This window comes from Homo sapiens, chromosome 2 (assembly GCF_000001405.40).
Source record: "Homo sapiens chromosome 2, GRCh38.p14 Primary Assembly".
Lineage (NCBI taxonomy): Eukaryota > Metazoa > Chordata > Mammalia > Primates > Hominidae > Homo > Homo sapiens.
In genome coordinates this window covers 120,210,180-120,233,837 of record NC_000002.12, presented here as the reverse complement: position 1 = coordinate 120,233,837, position 23,658 = coordinate 120,210,180, and the positions used below count along the sequence as shown (strand labels likewise).

At 48.3% G+C, this 23,658-nt stretch overlaps 1 protein-coding gene and 6 pseudogenes across 1 annotated transcript, besides 7 other annotated features; 1 reads left to right on the top strand and 6 right to left on the bottom strand.

Annotated features, from left to right (window-relative positions):
- Positions 1,099-1,448: an enhancer, noted in NCBI's record as "active region_16458". NCBI's record gives its function as "activates an Ori minimal core promoter by ATAC-STARR-seq in GM12878 lymphoblastoid cells {active_cell/tissue: GM12878}" and the evidence as "EXISTENCE:reporter gene assay evidence [ECO:0000049][PMID:35858748]".
- Positions 1,689-1,898: an enhancer, noted in NCBI's record as "active region_16457". NCBI's record gives its function as "activates an Ori minimal core promoter by ATAC-STARR-seq in GM12878 lymphoblastoid cells {active_cell/tissue: GM12878}" and the evidence as "EXISTENCE:reporter gene assay evidence [ECO:0000049][PMID:35858748]".
- Positions 2,631-2,680: an enhancer, noted in NCBI's record as "active region_16456". NCBI's record gives its function as "activates an Ori minimal core promoter by ATAC-STARR-seq in GM12878 lymphoblastoid cells {active_cell/tissue: GM12878}" and the evidence as "EXISTENCE:reporter gene assay evidence [ECO:0000049][PMID:35858748]".
- Positions 9,482-10,145: an enhancer, noted in NCBI's record as "H3K4me1 hESC enhancer chr2:120981269-120981932 (GRCh37/hg19 assembly coordinates)". NCBI's record gives its function as "activates a minimal SCP1, AML or CMV promoter by ChIP-STARR-seq in primed H9 embryonic stem cells {active_cell/tissue: H9 hESC(primed)}" and the evidence as "EXISTENCE:reporter gene assay evidence [ECO:0000049][PMID:30033119]".
- Positions 10,120-10,489: a silencer, noted in NCBI's record as "silent region_11917". NCBI's record gives its function as "represses an Ori minimal core promoter by ATAC-STARR-seq in GM12878 lymphoblastoid cells {active_cell/tissue: GM12878}" and the evidence as "EXISTENCE:reporter gene assay evidence [ECO:0000049][PMID:35858748]".
- Positions 10,240-10,400: a silencer, noted in NCBI's record as "fragment chr2:120981014-120981174 (GRCh37/hg19 assembly coordinates)". NCBI's record gives its function as "represses an EF-1alpha promoter that drives an FKBP-Casp9 reporter gene in an ReSE screen in K562 erythroleukemia cells {active_cell/tissue: K562}" and the evidence as "EXISTENCE:reporter gene assay evidence [ECO:0000049][PMID:32094911]".
- On the top strand, positions 10,438-16,359 carry TMEM185B (transmembrane protein 185B). The gene has a single exon (NM_024121.3). The coding sequence runs from the start codon at positions 10,862-10,864 to the stop codon at positions 11,912-11,914; it is 1,053 nt and encodes a 350-aa protein (NP_077026.2). The 5' UTR covers positions 10,438-10,861; the 3' UTR covers positions 11,915-16,359.
- Positions 10,640-10,839: a silencer, noted in NCBI's record as "silent region_11916". NCBI's record gives its function as "represses an Ori minimal core promoter by ATAC-STARR-seq in GM12878 lymphoblastoid cells {active_cell/tissue: GM12878}" and the evidence as "EXISTENCE:reporter gene assay evidence [ECO:0000049][PMID:35858748]".
- MTND5P28 (MT-ND5 pseudogene 28) lies at positions 16,626-18,500 on the bottom strand (annotated as a pseudogene).
- MTND4P26 (MT-ND4 pseudogene 26) lies at positions 18,849-20,207 on the bottom strand (annotated as a pseudogene).
- MTND4LP14 (MT-ND4L pseudogene 14) lies at positions 20,201-20,494 on the bottom strand (annotated as a pseudogene).
- On the bottom strand, positions 20,563-20,891 carry MTND3P10 (MT-ND3 pseudogene 10; annotated as a pseudogene).
- MTCO3P43 (MT-CO3 pseudogene 43) lies at positions 20,976-22,111 on the bottom strand (annotated as a pseudogene).
- On the bottom strand, positions 22,123-22,784 carry MTATP6P26 (MT-ATP6 pseudogene 26; annotated as a pseudogene).

Here is a 23,658-nt window from a genome sequence, read left to right as displayed (position 1 = left end):
ACTGGCATACACTGGGAACCAGGCACTGTTGCAGGCAAGAAGTGCTCTGTTACTACACACACATCTGGGTGTGAGGACCCTGAAGCTGGGACAGCTGGCAAGCTACAGGCCAGACTTCACAGGCAGCCTGATCCTGAGTCCAGCTTTTCCTCACCACTAACTCAGGAAAAGTTGGATTTATTGAGTACCTACTATGTTCCAGGCATGGTGTAGGAATATGTAACTAAAACCTCTGATGGAATCTTCCTCAAGGAAGATTAGAGAGGCAGAGATGGGGAAGGAGGGGCAGCAGGCAGCTGTGCCCTCCTCTAACAGGACGAGGTGCCTAGGCCAGGCACTTGACCCTTCTGAGCCTCAGTCTCCCCCGTAATGGGAGCAAATCTCTCCCCCAGTCCCCACGCGGACATCATGCTAAACAGATGGTAGCGCTTCTCACTATCTTCATTGCCATTGTTATTCTATTTAACACTGAATACAATTTTTTGAAGCCCCTTTCAGACCAAAAAGAGAAAACTGGGCCCTCTGTTTACTACTAAATGTGTTCCTGTTTTTTTGTTAATTAAAAGAAAAAACAACGTCCAACACCTCCATCCCGACCATATTGTTCCTGAAGTTTCCTTTTGCTGATGTATCTGTTGTTGTGGCATCAATAGTCGTAAACCACTTCCACTCTTACTGAGGTGTTTTGTTTTGTTTTGTTTAGATGGCGTTTCGCTCGTTGCTCATGCTGGAGTACAATGGCACAATTTTGGCTCACTACAACCTCTGCCTCCCAGGTTCAAGTGATTCTCCAGCCTCAGCCTCCTGAGTAGCTGGCATTACAGGCATGCACCACCATGCTCAACTAATTTTTGTATTTTTAGTAGAGACGGGGTTTCACCATGTTGGCCAGGCTGGTCTCGAACTCCTGACCTCAGGTGATCCACCCACCTTGGCCTCCCAAAGTGCTGGGATTATAGGCATGAGCCACTGTGCCAGGCTCTTACTGAGCTTTTTAAAGCACCCACTCAGAAACCATCAGGGAGAACCTCTTTCTTCAACCCCCCTGCTCTGTAAGAGCACTCAGAGCTCAAGAGATGACCTGTCTTCACGGGGGAAATCTAGTAACGCTGGATATGCAATAGGAATTCACTATATGAACAGCAATTCACCACACCAAATACCCCCCAGATAAAGCTGGGAAAGTTATGGCTGTTTGGGGTAATCTGGAAAGAACCTCAGTGACAGTAAATAATTTTTGTTTGTACCAGAGAAAAATCTAAAACCAGCAGGAACTCCGAGGAGTTTCATTTTCTTTCTTAGGTGGAAAGCAGCCACATGAGAAGGGTTGGCTTGTCAAGGTTTCAAGCCTGTCACGGATCTCCAGCCTCGGAGGCATATTTTCAGTTTCGATTCAGCTGATAGGTGGGGAGAAAGCACCCCAGTTCTTGGAAGTTAGCCGTTTCTCCTCCTCGCAGACAACCTCCAGAGCAGGGCAGCAGGCAGCTGCTAGAGATTTATTTCTCCACTTAGTCGTCTCCGCTTGCGGCTTCCTCCCATGAGTGAGGACCAAGAGAAGCCCCCTGTCTCTGATGAAAGTGGGGGATGAACACTGAACCAAACCCACACTGCTCAGCACATTTGATGCGGCCAGAAACAGACTGCAAAGGCTGAGAAAGCTTTTCAGGGGCCGTCTGGCTGTGTGGGTGCGAAGACCTGGCTGTACTTGGAATCACCTGGGAAGACTTACAAAAATGGTTTCCGAGCCTCACCCGCAAGGATTCTGACTTGGTGAGTCTGAATCACCAAGATTCTCGGGGTGAGGCCCCAGAATCTGCCTGTATGTAGCCAGCAATGCTGCATTTGGACCTGCATCTGGGGACCTCTGGGCCACCCTGGCCCCCTTAATTTATAAAGCAGAACCAGCCCCAGGGTGGAGAATGAATGAGGTGCCTGTCACCTGGTTACACAATTTAAGGTGTCCTTAGTTATGCCCAGCTGACTCGAGCACAGATCTTCCTGGGCACTCTCTTCTACACCAGCACAGGGTGGGGCGTGGGAGGGGAGTACGTGCCCATGCGGGCATCTACTGAATGTGCCAGGCCTGTATCTCTATTATCTCACCTCTATCCTGTGAAGTAGATATTATTATCCCCATTGTACAGATGAGAAAACCTAGACTCAGAGAGGCTGAGCCATTTGGTCAAGGACACACAGCTGCTGAAATGACAAGGCCAAGTTTGAACCCAGGTGGTCCCTTCTTTGGCCCATGCTTAACTACACCAGGGCACCCTCTTGATAGTGGTCTCCTTGGGGTTCTGTTGCAGCTCAGAGCACAAGCTTCTCCCTGATCGCTGCCCTATAGCTTATTTCCAATGTTTTTTTTTTTTTTTTTCTGGTTTTTAGTTGACTTTTCATCATATTCAGCCCAGTGACCTCTGGTCCTCTCTTGGGCTCTTTCAGCGTTATTCGGTGTTTTGTGTTTGTGCACCTTAACTGCGTGGAAAAGTGCTCGGTCCTTGGGAACAAGGGCCACAGGGCATTGCTTCCTTCCCCAGGGCCTGGCACCTACCGGGCACTAGCAGGCAGTCTGGCCATAGTAGCTGAGTGATGAGTGAACTGCTTGGAGGCTGTGCATGTTGCCCAGACTCTTTTAGGTCTATCTCCCCTAAAGGCATCTGTGAAAACACATAAAGCAACACCCTGAGGCAGCAACGGCTCCAGTCTGGGAGTCTGAGGAGCAGAAAGAAGCTGAGGTGGCCATAGGAGCCCCATGGGCAGTGAGGTGAGGCCAGGGAGATGGGCCACGGCCGGTCAGCCAGGGCCTTGAAGGGCACGGTAAAGCGTATGGATTTTGTCCTGAGAAACGAGAAGTCAGCTTTGACAGGGGAGGGCCATGCTCCTGTGGCCCGAGTCATCAGGCCGTGCTGCCTGCTATACTGCTGGATGCCCCTTTAAGTCAGGAGCCCCACACTGTTCATGGGGTAACTCCAGGGCCTGGCTCTCAGTGGCGTGCAGAGGCATTTATTTTATTTTACTTTTTTGCTGCTTTGCACCTGGCAATGGAAGAATGAAAGGCAACCCAGAGTGAAATTAGGATTACAATTTTACAAACGTCTGTTTCTGACGCAGGAAGCACATCATTTGTCCACATCACACTCTCTTGGAATTTATGACAAAGCCAGGTGAGAGCCGGGCTGGGAATGACCTTTGTCCAAGAAAAAAATGTTTTGCTGAGTAAATTAAGAGTGCAAATAAGACTGGGGAAAAAACTTAAATTGTACATGAAAACTTTTGAAAATATTTTAGTAATGTCAACTTAAGTACAATTGATACCTGGATTGCCTAATTCCATAATTCAGGAAGCTTCCCACTCACCTCCACAAAATATTAGTTTGAATTAATTATATTTAATTATATGTGAATGCCTCAAATTAAATGATCCCAATGCTCACTGTGTTGTTCATAACATTTGAAGGCTGTGATCTGACGCGGAAAACCCTGACTTCTGCATTTGCACACTCACAAACATGTCAACACTAGCCCTGTTTTTAGTTGACTTTTAATATTATACAGCCCTATACTTGAGTCTACCTTTGATTTCAGCCTCTTTAATTCTTCAACCCTGTGGAGTTTTCTAAATAAGCTCTGCCAGCTGCTATCAATACAAGCAGACTCACACCACAACTCGGGGTGGCACTGACTCCATTTCCTCAAAGATAACACAGAAAACAGAATAAAAGGCTGGGCACAGTGGCTCACGCCTGGAATCCCAGCACTTTGGGAGGCCAAGGCTGACAGATGACCTGAGGTCAGGAGTTTGAGACCAACCTGGCTAAGATGGTGAAACCCCATCTCTACTAAAAATACAAAAATTAGCTAGGCATAGTGGTGCACCTGTACCACCCAGCTACTCAGGAGGCTGAGGCAGGAGAATTGCTTGAACTCAGGAAGTGGAGATTGCAGTGAGCCGAGATCAGTCCACTGCACTCCAGCCTGGGTGACAGAGTGACTCCATCTAAAAAAAAAAAAAAAAAAAAAAAGGAAAAAAAAAGACACACTAGGCTTTATGTGTCAAGGGTCTTTAGAATGAAGTTGTCCCCCCTTATCCATAGGGGATATGTTCCAAGACCCCCAGTAGATGCCCAAAGCCGCAGATAGTACCAAACCCCTATACACACTATGTATTTCCCTGTGCATACACACCTACGATAGAGTTTAATTTGTAAATTAGGCACAGTACTCTTGTGCTTTGGAGCCATTATTAAGTCAAACACGGGTGACCTGAACAGAGGGACAGTGATCTGGCGGCAGCTGATGTGATCGCCCAGGGAGCACGCCCGGTGTGAAGATGCTGGACAAAGAGAGGGGTCACGTCCCAGGCTAGATGGAGCAAGATTTTGTCACGCTACTCAGAACAGAGTGTCATTTAAAATTTAGGAGTTATTTCTGGAATTTTCCATTTAATATTTTCAAACCTCGGTGTACTGCAGGTAAATGAAAACTTGGAAAGATAAACCTCAGATAAGGGGGGACTACTGTATTCATTCCTTCACCATGGCATGTCTGTGTCTGAGAATCTACCCTTAAAAACAATCTGGATGCAAAGAAGCCGTAAGATAGAGCGCAGTCCCTTCATTTCATAAAAGAATGAAACTAACTCAAATACACAATGCAATGGGTGAGTAAAGTATTGCACTACCCTTAATGTAATATTGTGGGGCCACTGAAAACATGCTCACATGTTTATGGAAATCTGAGAAGTGTTTCTATCTATGGCATTTCATCACATTTAAGACACTGTTGATTAGAGAACACACCACCATTTCACGTACCTTTAAGGAAGAAAAAAATACCCAGAATGGTTATTTAATAAGGGACGTCTAAGTAAAGCTGGGATCCTAAAGGGCTATTTCTTTGGTGGGAGGAGAATGATAAACAGCCTCGTCAGGCAGAAAGAGCCAGTGTCCCAGCCATGGACCCGGATGCAGGGAGGGAACAAAACTGCCCCTGAGGACGTGCACAAGCCAGTACTCATGCTGGTTTGAGTCTGAATTTGCACAAACATATGGTCTGGAAACACCTCAAGCAAATGCTGTAACTGAATTTAAGTTTAAGGTTATGTCAAGTTGGCAGTGCCCCCAGGTGACTGGCAGAAACAAATACAACCACCTCTAGAAAGAACTGAATGTTAACACCAGCTGACAGTGCCTGTAAAACATCAGCCACTGTACAGTGCAAGATCCAGAGACGTTAAAATGTGAAGTGAGTTTTAGAATTAACCATAAGTAAAAAAGCAGAATCAAATGGGTATGTGGAGGATGACATCTCTTTGCCGAGTAGACCGACTGGAAGGAAAAACACAGTAAAATGTTCACAGTGATCTTCTGTAGGTGCTAAGACTACAGCATTTTCTTTCTTTAAACGAGTCTGCGTTTTCCAGCTTTTTCTAAAGTGACCATATAAAAAAAGGAGAAATAAGGAGACGCAAGTGAGAGAATGACTTTGGGTGGGGTAGTCAAGGAGGTGACCCTGAAGGAGGTGACACCTGAACTGAGAAGGGACCAGCACAGGAGAAGCCACCTGAAGAGTTCATTGCTACATGTGTATCCAGGACAAGGACCTGGGGCACAGGGAAGATGCTTGATATGTATTTGTTAAATGAATACACGGGTTAAGGAAGGAAAAAGCTGCTAAAACAGGAGCCTAAGTCTCAAGGGGTCCCAGCCAGAGTCTGGCTCTTCAGGGAGCCATTCTCACTGGACTGAGCTGATAAACAGGGCAGGGACGCCCACCTGGCCAACAGCAGGGCCCTGTGGAAAGTATGCAGCTGCAGAGTTAGCAGAGAACCATGGTTGTGGGTCTTGGGCCTGTTTCCCCATCTGTCAAATGAGGTTAGTGCTTTGCCACCTCTGTCTCTGAAGTCAGCTCCAGATGATATCGTGCTTTGAAATATTAAGCCACGTGCGAGCGTGAGGGGCTGTCACGCTCCAGGAGGTCCTCATGCGAGCCCAGCAGCACCTCCCTGTAACACTGGGAACTGTCAGCACCTCCCTGTAACACTGGGACCTGTGAGCTTCAGACAAGCTGCTTTGTCTCAGGAAGGTTCCCGTGCTCGCTGCTCAGCCCACAGGAGATGTCACATCAGCTCCTGTCTTCCTGCCCGCATGCACTTTCCAGATTCACTTACCATGTACGAGCCTGTGCTGGAAACTGCTAACAGAGATAAGAGATGGGTCCCTGTCCTTGAGAAAGTCACAGGGAGTCCAGAGAGTCAGATGAGCAAACAGGATGATACCCTGTGGGACCCGAGGGAGGGGACACACAATCTGCTGCTGAGAGGCAGTTAACAGCCACCACTGGGGGGAAATAATGGAGGCATTGTAGGTTTCCTACATTGTTTCCTTTTGCTGTCACAGTTTTGGGAGGTTATCTCCATTTCACAGATCGGGGCTGGAAACTAAGTCATCTGTCAAGTTCACAGAGTCTGGACTCGCACCTGGGCTGGGGTGACTCAAGTCCATGCCCACGGGCATACTACTGCACTGGTATGTGTGTGCTGGCAGTGGGGGGGGGCAGGGAGATGGGAGGAGGCTATTGTAGAGGTGACAGCGTGCTCTTCATTTAGAGACTGGGGCCAAGGGGTAATGGTGGGCAATGAGGCTGGCACAAGGGCCAGGTGGGCTGTGGATTCCTTGTGAAGAAGTTGATATGAGCAAATCCACAAATCCGGCCAAAAGGGAAATTTTCCCTGGGCTTTCTGCGCAGGTCATCCCCCTGTCCCAAGCCAGCCCCTCAGAGGACATTCAGCAAAGGCATCCCATGTCCTGCAGCCAGAGGGCTACAGGGAAAACTTAACTCCCACCAGCTTCCAGCTGCTCTGACTGGGACCATGCCCAGGTGTCACTGTCACCCTGGTCTGCTGTGGAGGGTGCCAGGCAAGAGTTCGCTCTCCCTGGAAACCCAGCTCAGCTCTTGCTAAGCAGTGGCTGTTGTGGGGCAGGAAGAGCCGAGCTGGGCCTGACCGCTGGTACGGAGCAGAATTCTAAGGAATTTGCAGATGGAATTGGGGTTACTAACAGGCTGACCTTAAAATAGAGAGGTGATCCTGGGTTAGCTGAGTAACCCAAAGTAATCACAGAAGCCCTCAAAACAAGGAAGGCAGAAGAGAGACTCCAGACATAAGGACTTAACCCACCACGGGTGGCTTTGAAGGAGGCCACAAGTCAGGAAATACAAGGGGCTGAGAATGAACCCCGAGGCCCATGGCTGGCAAGGCAACAGGAACCTCAGTCCCACAACTCGATGGAACTGCATCCTGCCAACACAGAACTCGAATGCAGGTTCACTGCCGGAGTGCCCACACCGAGATCTTGGCCTTGTGACTCAAGCGGAGCACTGGCTGGGCATATGATGCTGACTTCTGACTCTCAGTTCATGGCGGACAGTAACTGACTGCTGCTTTAAACTGATACACCTGTGGCAATTGGTTACCGAGGAAGAAAGATCACCTGGGCTGGAGAGTGGAGGGAACAGGGCCTAGGATGCTGGTGATGAAAGGACACAGGTCCCACTATCGGTGCCACGCTGGCCACAGGAGCATCTCCTCTGGGACAGGAGCATCGCAGTCATGAGTAGTGTTAAATGCATTCCTTCACTCATTCAGCCAACGTCTCTCAAACATTTGCTACGATATAAGTGCTAGCTGGGTGTCTGGAGCTCAAATCTCATGAAAGGACAGAAGGCCAAACAGACAACACCCAGGGAAATGAGTCCCAGGATAGGAACAAGGTCCCCGCCTGCCCCTACCCCACCTCTGGCACCCAGATGCTGTGGGAGGTGAGAGAAGGGTCACTGGTCCACCAGGGGTCGAGGTTTCTCAGGGCTTGAAGCCCTGTCGTGGGTCTTGGTGCCCAGGAAGGAGACAGAGGCCATGTCGGGGTGGGCCACACTCAGGGGGAAGCAGCAGACTGGCTGGGCTGGTACATGGACCATAAGGGACCTGGCCACCAGGTGTGCCGGGATCAGCTCAGGAGAGCCTTACAGTTCAGACAGGAAAGTTGGGACTGAGGATGCCAAGCAGGGGAAAGAGGCTGGGGTTAGGACACATCCCAGGACTTCCCCAACCGTTAGGACAGTGACCTTCAAACCATGTCAGCCCCTGCCCTCTGGGGCCATGTGCCCCCGCACACCCTGACTGGGGGATAGCAGCCCGTGCCGGTGGCCTGGAACACCACATCCACACACACCACCTGTAAGTGAATGAATTCACACTTTGGTTTGTGTACCAGCCTTGGGGACTGCTATGCCGCCAGCACCTGGCACATAGCAAACAATCCATGTTAGCTTTACAGGTAAATAAAAGACAAAGGCGGGTGTCTGAGAGACTGGCCGCATCAGGGAAAACAGTGAAGGAGGGGTGTCTGATGCCCAGGGCATGATGGGGGAGGGGTCAAGGCCTGCAGGCCAAAGGAAGCCAGCTGGGGACAGATGGCAGACAGCATCCCTCACCCTGTGGCACAAGCCTGGAAGCTGGGTCTGCCCTCCCTCAGGAGCTGTGCAGCAGAGCCACTGTTGCACTGTGACAGGACACCTTGATACCCGCTTCTTGGATGGAGAGGGTGCACTTGTTCTGAATGAGGAGCTCAAGGTGGGAAAATAAGCTCCGAGCTCTGTCTTTGCCACAAAGATGGCAGCAGAGGCCCTGAGTTCATCTGACTACATAGGTGATTGGGAAGGACTTCTGACTGTTCTCGCAGGGTCCAGAGGACCTGACTCTGCCACCAGCTCCCGGAGGGTGGGGGCGCTCCTGGCAGCGCCTCCCCTCCACGGGCTCTGCTTTCCTAGTGGGGTCAAATCAATTACTTGCAGGTCTCTAAATGCAAAGTGCAAAGTTCCATGTATTGATTCATCTAATCCTCAAAACAATCCTGTGTGCTTTTCCAAGCCCATTTCACAGATGAAGAGGTTGGATTGGTGAGGGGGTTTTCCACTTTTACAAATTTTTAGTTGACAAATCCTTCTTGGGAGAAAAGAGTACAAAAAAGACCAATGTGTAAAACAGACAGATTGGAGCAACTCTGTTTAGGGGAGGAATGGAGGGAGATAAGGCTCTCCAGAAACAAGAGGCCCTGAAGACACATCTATGAAGTCAGCCTTAAGGGCTGAGCCTGAGGACTGGTGAAGCTCACTCAGCTGGACTCCCTTCCCCAGGGCCACAGATTGCCTGTGGCTGAAGTGAAGTTGTGGAGAGCGCCTCGGGGGCTGGGACTGTCCGCCCGACACCTGGACACCCTGCTCATGCCCGCCTGGGGCAGTGCTGTGAGGGTGCGGGAGGGCCACTCCGCGGAGGCCCTGACAGGCCATGCGTTCCTCTGATGGCCTGTCCCACTTCAGAGCCCAGGACCTGCGTGACAACATCCCACAGCCACTTCAGGAAAAGAGGACTAGGAGAGACTGGTGAGGGCAGCCAGGGCTCTGCTGAGCAGTGGGACAGCGGGGAAGACAGAAATCCTCCAGGGTCTGCCCAGATGGCCAGAGGGCGAAAGGGGTGCTCCAAATCACAGACCCGCTGCAGCCTTGCCCTTAGACACCACCCAGGTCTGTCCCCCAACTTCATAGACCAGGAAACTGAGGCCCAGAGAGAAAGAGGTGAATTTGCCTAGGTTTCTCAGCTGATGGGTGGCACGGCCTGGACAAGAACCCAAATCTCTTGACCTCTGGTCCAGTACCCTTTTCCAAAGGAAAAGGAAAACATGGTTTTGCGAGAATAACACAGAGACAGGGCCAAATAAGTCAAAATGAGGACTAGACACTTGAAGGTAGGAGCCCTGTATCTGCGACGCGATTCTCTGTTAACCTGCCGGGTGACCTGGGGCAGAAAGCAACCCCCAACCCTGGTCTGGATCCAGTTTCCTCCCGAGTGGGGTCTAACACCCTCACCAGCACCTTCCACTCTGGAGTGAGAGGGACAGGTACAAGAGCGCCGCTGCCGCCTGGGATCTCTGCACAGCCACTTCGCAGGCAGCCTGAGAAACGTCCGTTGCTCCACCAGGCGGAGTTCTGCCCCGCGAGTCTTCATCCCAGGTAAGGCCCCCCCACCTCGTGCCCTGAGTCTACGCGCGGGCCTTTTCCTTTGAGCCAGGGATACACCCGCCGCCGGCCCCCACAGGTCTGCGCTCATGCACATCGCCTTGCATCCGTTCAGTTACCGGCACCCGCTCCCTCGCTCGCAAACTCCCGCACTAGCCCGGCCACCGCCTCTGCTCGCGCGCGCGGGGTGCTGGAGCCTCACCGCGGGCGCTCTAGCCCCGGGCGGGTTCCCGGGAAGCCGCGGCGAGCGCGGGGAGGCGAGGATCCCGGCAGAGATGGGTAGGGTGCCAACGCCCAGGCCCCGCCCTCTCCACCCGGCCCCGCCCCCGCAGGGCCCGCCCCGGCCGGCAGGGAGGATGTGAGCTCACTCCCGCCTCCATGTTCCCGGAGTCGCCTGGAAGCGTCCGCCCAAGGTCGCGGGCCGCTTGGGGAGTCAGCAGCGCGCCAGGCCCCTTCGGGCCCCACACGCATTAGGTGCCTTCTTGATGGGTACGGAGTGAACGCGGGCGGCGGCGGGACCGAGGCAGCGCCCAGTTTGTAACCGCCGCGCCGCCCGTGCCCGCGCGCGCCACACCCCAGCGCGCTTCCGGCCGGGCCACGTGACCGCGCGTGCACGTGTTCCGGCCTCTCCGCTTCGCCGCTCCGAACCTCCTCCTGGTCGTCCCGGCATTCGTCCACGCGGAGCCGGCTTGGGCGGGGCCCGGGAGGCGGCGGCCGGAGAAGCCGCGGAGACGCGAGCGCCGAGCGTCGCGAGGGAGCAGGCCCGGGCAGGCAAGCGGCGGCCTCCGCCATGAACCCCAGGGGCCTGTTCCAGGACTTCAACCCCAGTAAGTTTCTCATCTACACCTGCCTGCTGCTCTTCTCGGTGCTGCTGCCCCTCCGCCTGGACGGCATCATCCAATGGAGCTACTGGGCCGTCTTTGCCCCCATATGGCTGTGGAAGCTTCTAGTCGTCGCAGGCGCCTCCGTGGGCGCGGGCGTTTGGGCCCGCAACCCTCGCTACCGCACCGAGGGAGAGGCCTGTGTGGAGTTCAAAGCCATGCTGATCGCTGTGGGCATCCACCTGCTGCTGCTCATGTTCGAAGTCCTGGTCTGCGACAGGGTGGAGAGGGGCACCCACTTCTGGCTGCTGGTCTTCATGCCTCTCTTCTTCGTGTCCCCCGTGTCCGTGGCTGCCTGCGTCTGGGGCTTTCGACACGATAGGTCGCTGGAGCTGGAGATCCTGTGCTCGGTCAACATCCTGCAGTTCATCTTCATCGCCCTAAAGCTGGACAGGATTATTCACTGGCCGTGGCTGGTGGTGTTTGTGCCCCTGTGGATCCTCATGTCGTTCCTTTGCCTGGTCGTCCTCTATTACATCGTCTGGTCCCTCCTGTTCCTGCGGTCCCTGGATGTGGTTGCCGAGCAGCGGAGAACACACGTGACCATGGCTATCAGTTGGATAACGATTGTCGTGCCTCTGCTCACTTTTGAGGTCCTGCTGGTTCACAGATTGGATGGCCACAATACATTCTCCTACGTCTCCATATTTGTCCCCCTTTGGCTTTCCTTACTAACTTTAATGGCCACAACATTTAGGCGAAAGGGGGGCAATCATTGGTGGTTTGGCATTCGCAGAGACTTCTGTCAGTTTCTGCTTGAAATTTTCCCATTTTTAAGAGAATATGGGAACATTTCATATGATCTCCATCACGAAGATAGTGAAGATGCTGAAGAAACATCAGTTCCAGAAGCTCCGAAAATTGCTCCAATATTTGGAAAGAAGGCCAGAGTAGTTATAACCCAGAGCCCTGGGAAATACGTTCCCCCCCCTCCCAAGTTAAATATTGATATGCCAGATTAAACTCCTAGAGAGGACCCAGGCACACACAGACTCCACTTGGCCTTCGCCTCTTGTTCATTCATCCCAAACCTGGAAATGGAAACAGGCTTCAAACACTCGTCTCACGCCGTGTTTGAGATCACCGCCTCATCAGTATGCATCATAGATGGAGGTGGTTTCAGTATGTGGGTGTGTGTGATGTGTACCTGGGTAAGAGACTTGCTTTCCAGGTTCGCACTTTCAGGTGTAGCTGGGGGCAGTAAGTCGAATTGTTTTAGTAGGTCCTCAAAAGGAATAACCACACAGCTGTTTGTTTAAATGCTACTGTACCTATCAAAACTATTGTTTAAAAAGTATTTTTATACACTGCTAATCTAAAATTGTATTTCAGATTGTGCCTGTCATAACAATAGCAAATGTAAAAAGTTCTCTTTCCCACCACTTGTTTATAAACCTCATAGTTGATATTTTTAGTGTTCCTACTGTTAAAATACTCTCTCCTTGGGCTTTGCTGATACTGGTCTTTAATATTCTGATAGGTGAATTTTTCTAATGGAATGAACCCATGCATATATAGTATTTATATGAATATTTTAGCAGTGTAATATGTTGAATTCTAGTTCTCTGCATTACCATTATTACGTTAAAGTATTTTTTAAAGCTTAGGTGTGAAGATATGTGTCTATTGCAGATGTCCTTGAAAACTGCATAAAACAGTATGTGCCTGGTGTGGATCTTACCAAAGTACTAGGCATGAATGTAGGGACTGCAAATCCCATGGGTCTTAATATTTAGGTGTTAGTAACCAAGGTCTCTGGTAGTACCCGTTAGTAGAGGAAGAGGCCACTGCCCTTGGGAACTTGTGACAGGCTCTAGTGTGGTACCAGGCCATAAAGTGACACTGTTATTTAGCAACTTGAATTTTTCCACACAGGTAGTAACTGTGTGGAAATAAGCAACAAGTGGTTTGTCCATTTCTAAGAATCTTAAACTATTAGTTGGCTGTAGTGTGAAGCATTACTTGTCATTGGAAAGATGGAGAGAGTGGCCTTAACCGGAAGTGGTCAGTAGAAGCAGGTGTCATTTTAAGGGCCAAACTTTAATCTGTCAGCAATAGGGAAACAACTGTTCAAATTATCTTTGTAGATAAGAACAGTGTTTCTTTTTTCTTTTCTTTTGTTTTTTTGTTTGTTTGTTTTGTTTTGTTTTGAGACAGAGTTTCACTCTTGTTGCCCAGGCTGGAGTGCAATGGCACAATCTTGATCTCAGCTCGCCGCAGCCTCCGCCTCCCGGTTCAAGCGATTCTTCTGCCTCAGCCTCGCGAGTAGCTGGGATTACAGGCATGCACCACCACGCCTGGCTAATTTCGTATTTTTAATAGAGACAGGGTTTCTCCATGTTGGTCAGGCTGGTCTCAAACTCCTGACTTGAGGTGATCTGCCCGCCTTGGCCTCCCAAAGTGCTGGGATTACAGGCGGGAACCACTGCACCCGGCAGGTACAGTGTTTCTTTAGGTGCTGGTGGTACACCAGGGAATCAGGGCAGAAGCTGGATCCTGCAAGAGTAATGTTTGAGAACAAATAAATACTTTCGAAAGGAGGTCGAAACAAAAAGGAGTGTAGGTGTTATTACTGCAGAGAAGACTGAATGGAGTCCACTTTTCTTATTAGTAACTTACTAAAAATGATCTCAAATGGGCTCCACACACTTTGCCCTGGCCATGAGGCAAACTTGTTGGGTTTGGAGAAAAACACATAACCCTAAATTCACTATTTTTGCCCTATATAAAACATTAAAATAACATGCTCTGTACACATGCTGTCAACAAAAGCCAGCTCTAGGAACCTGAGTGCCAGAATGCCTGAGGGAGCTACAGCTGGGCTTAGTTGGCTGGGATTGAGCTCGCTGTCTGAGGGAGCTCGCTCTGTCTCTCTCACACTGGCAGTTTACACCAGCCGGCAGCCCTGAGCAGCAGTGGGTGTAACTTTTTATAAATAAGGATTCATTGATTCATTCATATTCTCAATATTTCTTGAAGACCTACCCCGAGCCAAGCATGGTGCCAGGCAGTGGGGATGCAGTGGAGAGCAAACAGCCCTGCCCATGCAAAGTGTCCTGTACGGTGAGAAGTGTGAGCTGCACCCACAAAGGGAAAGAGCCCAGTGCAGCTTTTGCAAAATGCAGGGAAGGATGCTGCTAGCCTCAGGGTGACCTAGAACTTTAAGCTCATCTTTGTTTTCAGGAGCCCAGTGCCTCCCCTCCACCCCTAAAGAATATCTCAAAGACGTGGATTTTCATTTCAGTAAGATTTAGGGGTGCATGGGCAGGCAGTGCTGGAGGAACTGGGAGGCAGGTTTGGAGGCTGCAGTGGGACCACTGGCCCCTCCTGGCTACAGTTTCAGGCCAGGAGCTTGTTGGCACCTGGTGCAAACTCCCAAACCTGAGGGGTCCCCACAACCCCCCAGCCCATCTTAACTTCCTCTTCCCCCAAGCTATCTGGTGTTGGAAAGCCAGCATCTAGTGTGGAAACAAGCTTTCTCACCAGGTAGGCCATCCGCTGTCAGGACCATTAGGTAAAAACAGAAGTGACAGGTTGTAGGAAGTCGTTCGATCTGTGAGGCTGCGAGCACTTCAGTGCCTGGGATTTACCTAACTGCCATGAAACACTGATTATCCAGCATTCAGCATGTGTCAGATTCTGTAACTATTTCTCCTGTGATGTATCAGTCAGCTTTTGCTGCAAAACAGCATCAGAAATCTCAGTGGTCTACAACTAGATTCCCATTCTTGGGTAGTCTACAAGTTGGCTTCTAGGTTATGCTCCAGGCTGGGGGTCTGATCACGTCTGCTCCACAACATGTCCCGTATTCTGGGTCCCTGGTTGAAGCAGCAGCTTACCTTGGGCCGTGTTCTTTCTCATGGCAGAAGCACAGGAGGCCAAGCCCTACCTTGCAAGCACAAATACAGCCCCTGCTCACTTTCTGTTGGCCACAACACATGGCCATGCCTGACCTCTGTGGGGTGAGGCAGTGCATGGCCAAGGAACAAGCACAGTCCACACAGGGGGCTGTCACTCCGTGACCTCAGTATTACAAAATGGTTCTCAAGGAGTCGCAAAATGTGTGGCAGATCATCCATGATTTGTTTCCCGTGTGCTTTACGAATATCCTGAAATTTTTAAAAGCTGTTTCCATTAGAAGGGATCTGTTGGGGATTTGAGGTGAGATGAGAAAGACCCTGCATTCCAGCCCCTCAGTTAGCAGTGGTGAGGCCGGAGTACTCCACACGGGACAGTTTTAGGAAAGTGCTGGAATCCAAAGTTTCTCCGGAGGGCTATGCAAGGCGCTTTGGAAAGGCGAAGCCTGGGCGCAGGGAGCCCAGCCATGTAGGTAGAAGCAGCAGACGGTGAGGGAGGCCATCCCCACCTGGCCCTGCCAGGGCCCTGACTCAGTGAAGGAAGCTGTTGGGATACAGGTCATTCAGCCGGGCAGGAAAGATGGGATGAAGCCCAGCAAGTTCACAGGGATCCGGGAAGTTGTGTGGCTGGAAACCCAGGCAGGGCTGCACCACAGGGACCATTTGCTGGAGATGCAGCACTTGCCACAGCCACCACCACTGACAGCATGACACCCACAAAAAGGGAGCCTCCAGCTGCACCCCTGCTGCTGCGAGTACTTCCTCAGCTGTCTGCCATGAGCTTAAGGTTAAGTACCAGGAGGGAGGATATGATTGGGCAAACCTCAGGCATGTGTTCATTCTGTAGCTTCCAGAACATGCGAGGAGAGAGCATCTGGCTCCTTTGTCTCGAGGAGGAGGGGGCAGGACTCTGCCAGAACTCACTCGATAAAAGATTTTCCCAAAAGGAAGGGTGTTCAGATGACAAAAGTCCACTACACCACTTTCCTTGGCTATCTGATGCACCCCCATCTTCCCATGCGCGCACCTCAGAAATCAGGCTCCCACCTGACATAACACAACCATGCCTCACAAAAAGACAGTGGTTTATCCCTTCCCTAGGAGAAAAGAGAGGCAATGCCAAGCTGCTTCATCAACTGTTAATACTTCTTCCAGCCCGCAACCCAGGATATCTGCAGGTGTCTCTCCCTCTGGTTTGGTCATGGCTCTCTCTGTTCTAGAATGTATGGGTTAAAGTCGGCTGCCACACCATGCCCTCGGCAGTGTGGTCCAAGGACCCCTGAGGGTCCTCAAGGTCCTTCCTTTCCCAACCCCACGTGGTTTTCTTCAGTCAGGATACCATACTGCAACAGACCGAAGGCGGAAGCAGCTATGAGGATGCAGCAGCCTTCTGTTAAGCCAGGCTTTAAGGATCTGCAAAAATGTAAAACGATGCCACTCCTACTGATGAAATATATTGTTTTGGAAAATATAGGTTTAAAAATTTTTTTAAGGTAACATGTAATGGATGTATAGTCTTCAAATGGATGAATAAATGTTTTTCAGAGTTATTGGCTTTAACTTCTAAGATGCTAAATGTTGACGTAGCTCATAAACAAAAGCCCGTTGAGGTCCTCGGTCATTTCAAGAGTGTGAGGGGGTCTTGTGACCAAAGCATTTGAGAACTGCTGTCCTATATTATCATGGGGGAAAGAGAGGATAAAGAAAATAGAAGTTTAATGAATTAAAATCTGTGCTTTAACCTTTAGCCTAACCCCTGAATAGGCTTGAGTGGGGGGTTGAACGATGAATTGTGGCTGAATAAAAACCTAGCATATTGGAGAAGTTAAATATCTGTAATGGGTACTTTAGTTTAAGATTATTAGTTATGAGCTTGAGCTCTATTGCTAGTAAGAGGCCTAAGGTGGTTACACCTAGGGCTGTGAGCTTTAGGTGAAGTGGTATAGTTGTTTGGGGGGGATGAAGCAGGAATAATACTGTTGGTCATGAGGAATCCAGCAAAGATACTGCCGATTGTTAGGTGCTTAATTGAGTTAATTAGGAAGGGATTATTTTCATTAATAATAGAGTTATGAAGTGAGGTTGTCCTATTAGAGTGAAGAAAATAATTCGGGTACTATAGACAGCTGTTAAAAAGGTGGCAATAAGAGTAATAGAAAGGGCTCAGGCGTTGGTGTATGATGTATTTGCGGTTTCGATGATAAGGTCTTTAGAGTAAAAGCCTGTGAGGAAAGGCATATCTGTAGGTGCAAGGCTGCCAATAATAAGGGAAGAGGAAGTGAAGGGTAAAGTCTTGAATAGTCCTCCTATTTTACGGATATCTTGTTCATCATTGAGGTTATGGATAATGGAGCCTGAACATATAAATAATATAGCTTTTTAAAAGGCGTGGATGCAGATGTGAAGGAATGCTAGGTGTGGCTGATTAATACCAATTTTGACTATCATAAGGCCCAGCTGGCTTGAGGTGGAGACTGCACCTGCGCAGGTGCTAGGCGGGGCCAGCAGTGGGCGTGGTCTTTCCGGGCCCGGGATTGGTGAAGGCTCCGGGGCTGACGAGGCGAGGCCGGAGCCCTCCCCAGTTTCCTGCTATCCGGAGCCGGGCGGCTCGCCCAGGATACGGAGCCCGGCGGTCACGGGGGAGAAGGTAGCTGTCGGGCATTCCCCTGGCGCTGAAGGGCAGATTGCTGTAAGTAGGGTGGTAATAGCCCCTAGACATAATGTAAAGGTTTGGATGAATAGGTTATTTTCTATTAAAGAGTAGAAACGGATGAGTAGGAAAACTGCTACAACTACAGTGCTGGAGTGGAGCAGGGCCGAGACTGGGGTTGGGCCTTCTATGGCGGATGGGAGTCAGGGATGGAGGTTGAATTTAGCTGACTTTCCTGCTGCTGCTAAGTAAGTAATGGAAGGGTGTCGGGGATAGGGTTTAGAGTAAACGCTTGTTGAAAGTCTCATGTGTTGGAGGATAAGAGAAATCATGCTATAGCTAAAAATAAAGCCAGTATCGCCGATGCGGTTGTACAGAACTGCTTGGAGGCCTGCTTTTGTTAGCATCTGCTCGGCCATATCATCAGCCAGTTAGAAAGACATGATTCCTACGCCTTCTCATCCGATAAAGAGTTGAAAGGGCCGGGCGCGGTGGCTCACGCCTGTCATCCCAGCACTTTGGGAGGCCGAGGCGGGCGGATCACTGCTTATGCAGGAGATCGAGACCATCCTGACTAACGCGGTGAAACCCCGTCTCTACTAAAAATACAAAAAAATTAGCCTGGCGTGGTGGCGGGCGCCTGTAGTCCCAGCTACTCGGGAGGCTGAGGCAGGAGAATGGCGGGAACCCGGGAGGCGGAGCTTGCAGTGAGTGAGTGTCGCGCCACTGCACTCCAGCCTGGGCGACAGAGCGAGACTCCGTCTGGAAAAAAAAAAAAAAGAGTTGAAAGAGGTTGTTGGTGGTGACCAGAATTAATACTGTGATGAGGAAAATAAGTAAATAATTGAAAAATTGATTGTTAGGGTCTGAGTTTATGTATCATATTGATAATGCTACAACAGATCAGGTAACAAATAGTGCTACTGGGATAAATATTGTGGAAAAGTAGTTTGAAGCTTAGTGAGAGTTTAAGAGTTTGGATTGTCATTGAATGTCAGTTTGAGATAATGACTTCTTGGTCTGTACATATAAACATTGTTGGGATGAGGCTAATGGTGAAGGCGCATACGATAGATATTTTTACGTAGTTTGGGTATGAACCTTTTTTGCAGGGGTTGACTAAGGTGATAATAGTTGGTAGGATTAAGGGGATTAGGGCTATTATAGTAGTGGAAAAATACATATTTGTTACTTTTATTTGGAGTTGCACCAATGTTTTTGGTTCCTAAGACCAATAGACAACTCTAATTCTTTAAAAGTTGAGAAAGCCATGTTGTTAGGCATGGGGGCACAAGTTAGCTGTCCTTGCGTAATTTCTTGGTAGATAAGTTGCAGGCTTCTATTATTAGATCCACAGTCTAAGGTTTCGGTTATACTATAGCTACAGCATGTAAACCCCATAATAATTTTAGGTTTTAAGGGTAATAGAAGGATAGGTGCGACATGTATAAATATTAATGTATTTTCTCGTGTAAAGGAAGGTTTAATACTGTCAATGTAATATGTGAGTGTCCCTTGTTGTATCATGATTAATACATATAGGGAGTAGAGGGCTGTAATTAGTATGTTAAGTCCTGTAAACATAATAGTGATATTTGATCAGGAGAATGAAGCTATGGTCACAAAGAGTTATCCTACTAGATTAATGGTAGGGGGTAAGGCAAGGTTAGTGAGATTTGCTAGAAGTCATCAAGAGGCTATTAGTGGAAGCAGTATTTGAAGGCCTCGGGTAAGTAATATGGTTCGGGTATGGATTTGCTCGTAGTTCAAATTTGCTAGGCAGAATAATAAGGATGAAGTAAGTCCGTGGGCAATTATAAGGGTGACTGCACCTGTAAAGCTTCAAGGGTTTTGGATGAGGATAGCTGTGATAACAAGTGCTATATGGCTTATGCAGGAGTAGGCAATAAGTGATTTTAGATTGGTTTGTCGTAGACAAATAGAGCTTGTCATAACCATTCCTCATAGGGATAATATGAGGAATGGGTAGGCTATATATTCTGTTAGGGGGCTGAGGATAAGGGTAAGCCATATTACACCACAGCCGCCTAGCTTTAGGAGAACTGCTGCAAGTACTATTGAGCCGTCAATAGGGGCTTCTACGTGGGCTTTAGGGAGTCACAGGTGAAGTCCGTATAGAGGTATTTTCACTATAAAAGCCATAATACATGCTAGTCATATAAGATTATTGGATCAGGAGGCTAATAGTTCTTGGGTGGTAAATATCATTACTAGAATATTTAGTGAAACTGAGGTATTTTGAATGTAGACAAGTGTAACAAGTAGAGGGACGGATCCTACTAGTGTATAAATAGGAAATATGAGCTGGCATTGAGGCGCTCTGGTTGCCTACCTCAGCGGGTGATGATAATCAGGGTAGGAATTAGTGTAGCTTCAAAGAGGATATAAAATATAATTAGTTCTGTGGCTGTGAATGCTATAATTAAAATCTGCAGGGAAACCAATATAGAAATATAGAGCTTTTTTTCATGGGGGTGATTCATTGGGCAGGTGATATTGGCTTGCTGGAGTTTGTAGTCAGGCTGTTGAGATTAGAAGGGGGGATGTCAGCGGGTCAGAAAAGATTAATGAGAAGTTGGGTGAGTTATCGTTGAATTGATTAACAAATAATAGGGTAATGAGGCTGATGAGTAGACTGTGGGTAGTCATGTTGATTCAGATTATAGAATTTTTAGAGAATCATGTTATTGGTAACAGTATAATTGTTGGAATAATAATTTTTAGTATTGAAGTAAGTGTAGGTTTTGTACGTAATCTAGACCATATGTGTTAGAGATTGAAACTAGTAAGGCAAGAACTGCGGCTTCACAGGCAGCAAATACTAGGAGGATGATGGGTGTTATGGATGCTAGAATGAAATGTATATTTAAAGTTGTAAGAGTAATTATGATAAATATTGATAGTATGATGGCTTCTAGGCATAATAGGGATGATATTAGGTGGGATCGATAGACTAATACTCCCAGTAGTGCTATGGTATATGCCAATATAATATTGATATAAATAGAGGGCATTTGGCAAATATGGCCTATCATAATCTAATGCGTCAAAATCACTTATTTTGACTTAAACTACTTACCAATTCAACTCAGTCTAATCCTTTTTGGGTTCATTCATAAGTTAAGCCTAGGATTAAAATGATAACTAGTAGAAGGGCTGTGCTGATTGTTAGTGTCAGGTTGTTTGATGGGCTCATGGTAGGAGCAGTAGTAGAGCGATTTCTAAGTCAAAGAGGAGAAATGTGATGGCTACTAGGAAAAATTTTATGGAAAAGGGGAGGTGGGTGGAGGTTATTGGGTCAAATCCGCATTCATAGAGGCTATATTTTTCTATATAAATGTTAAGTTGTGGGAGCCAAAATGTAATTATTAGTAGTAATAGGGCCATTAAGGTGTCGGTTACTAGGGCTAGTGTCAGGTTAATTACTCTCTTTTGGATACTATGGAAACTAATTGTTTGGAAGTCAATGGTACTATTTATACTAAAAGAGTAGGATCCTCATCAGTAGAAAGAGACGTATAAGAATAGTCCTACTACATCTATGAAGTGTCAATATCAGGCAGCGGCTTCAAAGCCAAAGTGGTGGTTGGATGTAAAGTGGAATTTTAATGGGCGGAGGAGGCAGATAGTGAGAAATGTTGATCTGATAATAACATGAAGTCCGTGAAAACCTGTGACTATAAAGAATGTTGGGCCGGGCACCGTGGCTCACACCTGTAACCCCAGCACTTTGGGAGGCTGAGGCAGGTGGATCACGAGGTCAGGAGATCAAGACCATACTGGCTAACACAGTGAAACCCCGTCTCTACTAAAAATACAAAAAGATTAGCAAGGTGTGGTGGCGGGCACCTGTAGTCCCAGCTACTCGGGAGGCTGAGGCAGGAGAATGGTGTGAACCCGGGAGGCGGAGCTTGCAGTGAGCTGAGATTGCGTCGCTGCACTCCAGCCTGGGCAACACAGTGAGACTCCCTCTCAAAAAAAAAAAAAAAAAAGAGAATGTTGAGCTGTAGATTCCATAAGAGATAGTAAAAGGGGTCTCGAAATATTCTGAGATTTGTAGGAGGGTGAAGAGTAAAAGCGGTCTCAAAATATTCTGAGATTTGTAGGAGGGTGAAGGAAATACCTAAGGTGACTGTGATGGAGAATGCTTGAATTATTTGCTTTTGATTACCTTCTGTTAGGCTGTGGTGGGCCCAAGTAATTGAAACTCCTGATGCAAGTAATACAGACGTATTTAGGAGGGGTACTTCTAAGGAGTTGAGGGGAAAAATGCCTGTTGGAGGTCAATGTCCCCCTAATTCTGGAGTCGGGGCTAGACTAGAGTGGTAGAATGCCCAGAAGAAACCAGCAAAGAAGAATATTTCTGAGATAATAAATAGAATTATTCCCTATTGGAGGCCTTTTTGGACAACTGTTGTATGGTGGCCTTGAAATGTACTTTCTTGGATAATGTCATGTCATCATTGGTGTATCGTTAGTGTGTTGGTTAGTAGGTCTAGGGTTAAAAGAGTGATAGAATTAAAGTGAAATCACATGGCCAGGCCAGATGTTATTAGGAGAGCTGAGAGAGCTCCTGTCAGTCGTCAGGGGCTGGGTTTGACTATACGGTAGGCATGTGTTTGGTGGGTCATTATGTGTTGTCATATAAAGGCTTACTAGTAGTGTCAAGACATAAGCCTGAATAAGGGCTATGGTGAATTCGAGAATGGTTAGTAGTATTAGAATAATGAAAGCAATTGAAGCTATGGGAAGACTAATAGTTGATAGTACCAGTGTGGGTCCCCTGATTAAATGTATTAGCAGGTGGTCGGCTGTAATGTTGGCTGTTAATTGCACAGCTAATGCTATCGGTGAATGGATAGGCTAATGGTTTCAATGAGTACTAGTATAGGGATAAGTGGCATAGGTATGCCTTGTGGTAAAAAGTGAGCTAAGGAGATTTTAGTTTTAAAGTGGAAGCCTGTAATTACTGCACCTGCTCACAGGGGACTGCTATACCTAGATTTATTGATAATTGGGTAGTTGATATAAATGAATGGGGTAGAAGCTGGAGGAGGTTGGTTGAGGCAATGAAGATAATTAGGGATATCAGTATAAGGGATCAGGTTCATCCTTTAATGTTATGGGTAATTATTATTTGTTTTAGTGCAAGTTGAATTATCACTGTTGAATGGAAGTTAATCGATTACTAATTAGATGACTGGAAATTGGAAATAGCATGGCAGGAAATAGAATGATTAATATTACTGTGGGTAGACCTAGAATTGTTGGGGTAGTAAAAGAGGTGAATAGATTTTTGTTCATTTTAATTCTCAGGGGGTCTTATGCTTTTGTGTTTTGACTATTTTTGGTGCAGGGGTAATATGATAAATGAAATTTGATAATTTTAACTGAATAATGGTGAATAAATTTATGACAGGATAATAATGGATCACGTGAAAGTGTCTAGTTGAGGCATTCACTGCAGAGGGGTATAGATCCCTTCAGTCTTTAACTTCAAAGGTTAATTATTCAGGGCCTAGCAGGGAAGGAAAAACACAGGTGACTGTCCTTATTTCTGCAACATAGCACAGGACAGCCTCTCTCCACTCCTGATCCTTGTCCTCTGCAGCACCTCGGTTAGTCAGGTCACTGAACACAGCAGGATAACTCACACCTTCATTCGGGGGCCTGAACCCTTTGCTGGTCCTGTTGGCATCTTCCATCTAATCTCAGCACGAGACATGGACGTGCTCAGAGGAGCCTGGGGGATCCCCTGGAAGCTGGCCATGAGCCTCTGTCCTTGTTTTGCAGTGGCAACGCCTTTTCCCCATGATGGTCTGTCAAAGGGGGAGGTGGGGGTTTTCCCGTGGGCTGGGGTAGTTGATCCTGACTACCACGGGGAAACGGGTGGACAGTCACACCCAAAGCTCACCAGCCACCTTCTCTGTTTTCAGGATGTCCTGTTTGTTAAACAGCATCACTGCAGGGAAGGGAGGGTGGAAGTGGGTTTTGAAACCTTCCTCCACCGCAGCAGCTCTCTCGCTCCCTCCCAGTCCCTCTGCCTGTACCCCTGCTTCGCCCCTGGCTCTGGAGCCCCGGTACCCTGCGGTGTGGCCATGCTGGGCCCTCGAAGCTGGGCCGTGTGCTTCCAGCAGAGCATCAGCAACACTCTGGGACAGGATCTTGGACGACATGT

Excerpts from the sequence above, each read along its gene's own strand:
- TMEM185B (NM_024121.3), top strand. The coding sequence starts at position 10,862 with ATGAACCCCAGGGGCCTGTTCCAGGACTTCAACCCCAGTAAGTTTCTC.